The 5124-nt window shown below is 34.1% G+C and overlaps 1 pseudogene; it reads right to left on the reverse strand.

Moving 5' to 3' along the window:
• Positions 1 to 982: 982 nt before the first annotated feature.
• RPL23AP38 (ribosomal protein L23a pseudogene 38) lies at positions 983 to 1703 on the reverse strand (annotated as a pseudogene).

Consider the following 5124-nt stretch of genomic DNA (forward strand, 5'->3'; position numbering starts at 1 on the left):
AGAGAGAACCAATAAAAGATAATGAGGAGACAGGATGAAAGAAGGAAACTAGCCAAGTTACTACTAAGTAGCACAACTGAGAGATATCTGTATTATCTGTCTGATCTTATGATGGCATCAGTAGAGATGGAAGGATGCGAATGAGTATGAGAAATGCTTGTAGGCTGAAAACAAGTAGTATAATTTGCGTATTATGTTTATTTGTGTTATTTCATATTGTTTTGTGTTTCATATCAGTGATGTTACTTAAAATATGCTTAACCACATATCTCTATTAAAGCCAAATATTATTTGCTCTTCATCATTGTATATTTTTTAAGTATTTTAGTGATAACACATTTTAATAAGTTTATTAAATCATTTTCAAAGATCGTCTCAAATGTGAACTTAATGGAACTTACTTTGTAGATTATTAACTTTCCAAGTCACAGAAAACAAAATGGAGAGAAAAGAATCTCAGATTTTTTAAGTTGCTAGATACAGAGAACTTTGGTTCTGTCTTTCTGTCCTAAATACAAGTGGCTGAACATTTTTAAACTTAATGCCTAATAATGGAAATGAAAGTGATACCACTGGCATTGGTGGTTGTTTGTATTTCTGCTAGGTGATAAGTCACTTGAATGAAATGACCAAATCAAGTTTGTGGTATGGACACAGATAATAACACCCATGGTATCAAAGATGAGTACCTAAAAGAGATTGGAAAAATTACTGAGAGGCTGAATTTATATTTTTTAAATGATATGCATATAATAAATTAAAATGTCAATATTTTAAAATAGAGTCACAAATATTTTATTTATTTATTTTTATTGTTATCATTTTTTTCCTCTGAAATCCTTGCCCTCTATTGGGCAAGGGGTGAGGGAAGCAGACAGACCGGTTGGACATAGTAGACAGGTATGTGAGGACAAAATGCTACTCAAAAGCTAGCCAACCCATACTCCCCTGAAATGGACGCTAATGCCCTTCAAACTCTGGGCATTGGTTTCACACACATCGTCTTCCAGGGATAAAAGAAGGGGTTCTTGTAAAGCTTCTTGTTACCCTCAACCATGGAGGCAAGTTCCGAGTTCTGGTTTTCCTAGGACACTAACTCTAGTGTCCCTGTTGCATCAGTGCCTGTGTATGGCCTCCCAGCCCAACCAGAAATTGACAGAAAGGCATGTATTTGGTGAAAAGATATACATATATTTAGAATTAGCCAGCTGGACTCAGTTTAGATGATCCCAATTTTGTTTGCAACATCCAAAGCATCATAATCAGGAGCCAGTTGAACATATGCCTTCTTCTCTCCATCAGGTCGAATCAGGGTGTTGACCTTGGCCACATCAATGTCATAGAGCTTCTTCACAGCCTGTTTGATCTGGTGCTTGTTGGCTTTAACATCCACAGTGAACACAAGTGTGTTGTTGTCTTCTATCTTCTTTATGGCCAACTCAGTGATCAGAGGAAACTTCATGATAGCATAGTGGTCAAACTTGTTTCTCCTGTGAGCGCTCTTCCAAGGATATTTGAACGGCCTCCAGAGTCCCAGTGTCTTGGGCCTCCAGAAGGTGAGTGACGTGTGGATCTTCTTTTTTTTTGTGGCTGTGGACACCTTTCAACACCGCTTTCTTGGCATTTAAAGCCTTCCCTTGGGCTTCAGCTTTAGGAGGGGCAGGAACTTCCTTCTTCGCTTTTGGCACCATCTTGTGAAAAGGATATTTGTTTATTTTAAATAATTAGTTTCTCTCTTTGCACCTCTTGAGATTATCAGAGAATGGAAATAAGATGAGATAAATTTAAATGATAAAACTAACATTTTAAAGTATATTTTGATTGTTGCATCCAGCTTGTAAGTATTGAAGAGCTGTAAGTTATCTAGTTCTACACAAAGCTCAGTGAATAAAAAGCATAAGGCAAAGCACAACTTTTCAATCTATCAGAAAAAAAAATATTCAAAATGCCATGTGCAAAGTGTATGCTCAATTAAAGGTGTTGAAACCATCAAGGCTCATGCAAGCTTTTTCTTAGCTTCTGTAATACCAAATAAGCCCTGCTATATGTCTTGATTTACCATGAAAGTTAAGTGTCACATTTTAGGCAAATAAAAGTTATTAAAATTTGACAGCTGGCAAATTATGCTAACATCTGGTAACAAATCATTCTTGACAGTTCAATAGTACACTTCTTATTGCATAGCTATTAATATTATAAACAGCAAAATGCAAAAATCATAGCACCCAACTAACATATTCCCTGGAGTGATAGAAAGAATGCACTGTTTATCTTAATGTGTAAGAAATGTCATCTTTTCACGTCTGAGGTTTGAAGTAGATTGGAACTGAATAACTATAAACATGGGTGGCACCATGCAGTGCCACAAGCTAAAAAGAGATTTGAAAATTTCTGAATTTGGAGTGACATGATGATACATTTACAGTATGTGGGGGGAGTAGAAAAAGTAGTAAGAATAGATTGTAACCAATAATAATAACAATAAAATGACATTACATGCTTATTCATCACTCATCTGGTATAATATCACTTTCTTGGTTAAGTTGGCTAATAGTTATATATAACAGAATTTCTAACTGGTGCTTTAACAAAATCAAGTTCTAGAATCTAGTAAGTGGTTAATTCCTATCTGGCTCAAATACCTGGCATTGGGATATGGATGTTCCTTGCTGTCACCCAACTTCTTAAAGGAGGGAAAGGAATTTTACTTTCACCTTTTATTTTGATAGTGGTGGTTTCTACCCATAAGTCACTCTCATTCACTTATAAGTGTTACAAAAAAAAGGAATATAATACATAAAAATATAATCTTAACCAAAACTTAAATTGTGTTTACAAAATAAAAGCTGAATTGGGATGTGGGCATCTGGATTGTGGCTCTGGCTTGGTGGTGTAAAAATTTCTGTCCCTCCATGAGTGCAATTTTTTCAAATTTTTTTTCTTTTTAACTTTTATTTTAAGATCAGGGGCACATGTGGAGTCTTCTTATATAGGTAAGCTCATCTCACAAGGGTTTATTGTACAGATGATTTTGTCACCCAGGTATTAAGCCTGCTATCCATTACTTAGTTTTCTTGATCCTTTCCCTCCTCCTGTGCTCTACCCTACAGTAGGCCCCAGGGTCTATTGTTCCACTCCACGTGCCCATGTGTTCTCATCATTTAGCTCCCACTTATAAGTGAGAACATGCAGTTATTTGGTTTTCTGTTCCTCTGTTAGTTTGCTCAGGTTAATGGCCTCTAGCTCCATTCATGTTCCTGCAAAGGATATGATTTCATTCCCTTTATGGCTGTATAGTATTTCATGGTGTATATATGCCACCTTTTCTTTATTCAGTCCACCATTGATGGGGCGTATAGGTTGATTTCATGTCTTTGCTATTATGAATAGTGCTGCTGCAAACATATGCATGCATGTGTCTTTATGACAGAATGATTTCTATTCCTTGGGTATATACCCAATAAAGGGATTGCTGGGTCAAATGGTATTTCTGTTTTGGGGCCTTTGAGGAATTGCCACACTGTTTTCCAGATGGTTGAACTAATTTACACTCCCACCAACAGTGTATAAGCCTTTATTTTTCTCCACAGCCTCACCAGCACCTGTTAGTTTTTTACTTTTTTATAATTGCCATTCTGATTGGTGTGAGATGGTATCTCATTGTGGTTTTGATTTGCATTTCTCTAATGATCAGTGATGTAGAGCTTTGTTTTCGTATGTGTTTTGGCTGCATGTGTGTCTTCTTTTGAAAAGTGTCTGTTCATGTCCTTTGCCCACTTTTTAATAGGGTTATTTGTTTTTTTCTTGTAAATCTGTTTAAATTTCTTATGATGCTAGATTTCAGACCTTTATCAGATGCATAGTTTGGAAATATTTTGTCCCATTCTGTAGGTTGTCTGTTTATTCTGTCAGTAGTTTATTTTACTGTGCAGAAGCTCTTTAGTTTAACTAGATCCCATTTGTCAATGTTTGCTTTTGTTATGATTGCATTTGCTGCCTTCATCATGAAATCTTTGCCCATACCTATCTCCAGAATGTTTTTATTGCCTAGGTTGTCTTGCAGGGTTTTTATAGTTTTGGGTTCTACATTTAAGTGTTTAATCCATTTTGAGTTGATTTTTGTATATGATGCAATTTTCTTACTGTAAAATTAGAAGATTTAAAGAATATAAATTCTATAGTCATTTCTAACTATGGAATGCATGTGCTCTTAACTTAGATCAAACTCCAATTGAATTTAGAAAATTTAGTCAACCAGGAACTAATTGATTAAACTTGCTGAATATTAAATGTAGAGAATTTTACTCACTCATACTTTTGTGTGTATCAATCACTAAGACCATATAATTAAGCAAAAGCAATGGTAGCTCTATTTTTTAATATACATTCAATTTTTAAAGAAAAATACAGTACCGAATACAATATGAATTAGCATATGCATTTTATACCTTGATGAGAGACCCCAGGTATAAAATAACACTTCTAAAATGGTATCTTAAAAAACTGTTTTATATATAGATATATTTTAGGAAGCTCCTGTGTTTTGTTTCTTGGTTGGCTATAAGACTGCAGAGTTGAACATTCTAAAAATAATCAATGACTGAGAATTCATTTGCTTTACCACATTTATAGATAATTTATGGATGGTTTTTCACTTCTCTAACACTCAAGCCTCAATTCATTTTCAAATACATGAAGTGTCATTTTAAGTATACAGTGGGCTCTTAATGAAATTTGCTGTCTTAACTTTTAAATGTTTCAGAGATTTTTATTTTAAGCTTGGTAAAAAAAAATCAGAGTAACCTTCATATGTTTTTTATATTCTATAAGCTGCAATTAAAGCACGTGATTTTTAAAAAAGAATTTAAATTTCAAACCATATTGCTTTATTACAGCAACAGAAACTTATGTCCTAAATCAAATGCCCTATAAAAATATTGTATTTTCACTTTTTGCAATTTTAACAAAAGCTGTCCATTTGAGTTAAAATGTCATTTTATTAGTAGTTTTTCATTATGTATACTTGTCATTATTTTTCCTTTTTCCCTTTTTTTTTTGGAAAATTTAAGATTTGCAGAAGAGAAATTACAGGAAACTATACTCTTTTGTTGTTGCAGTTGAATA

This window comes from Homo sapiens, chromosome 3 (genome assembly GCF_000001405.40).
Source record: "Homo sapiens chromosome 3, GRCh38.p14 Primary Assembly".
Lineage (NCBI taxonomy): Eukaryota > Metazoa > Chordata > Mammalia > Primates > Hominidae > Homo > Homo sapiens.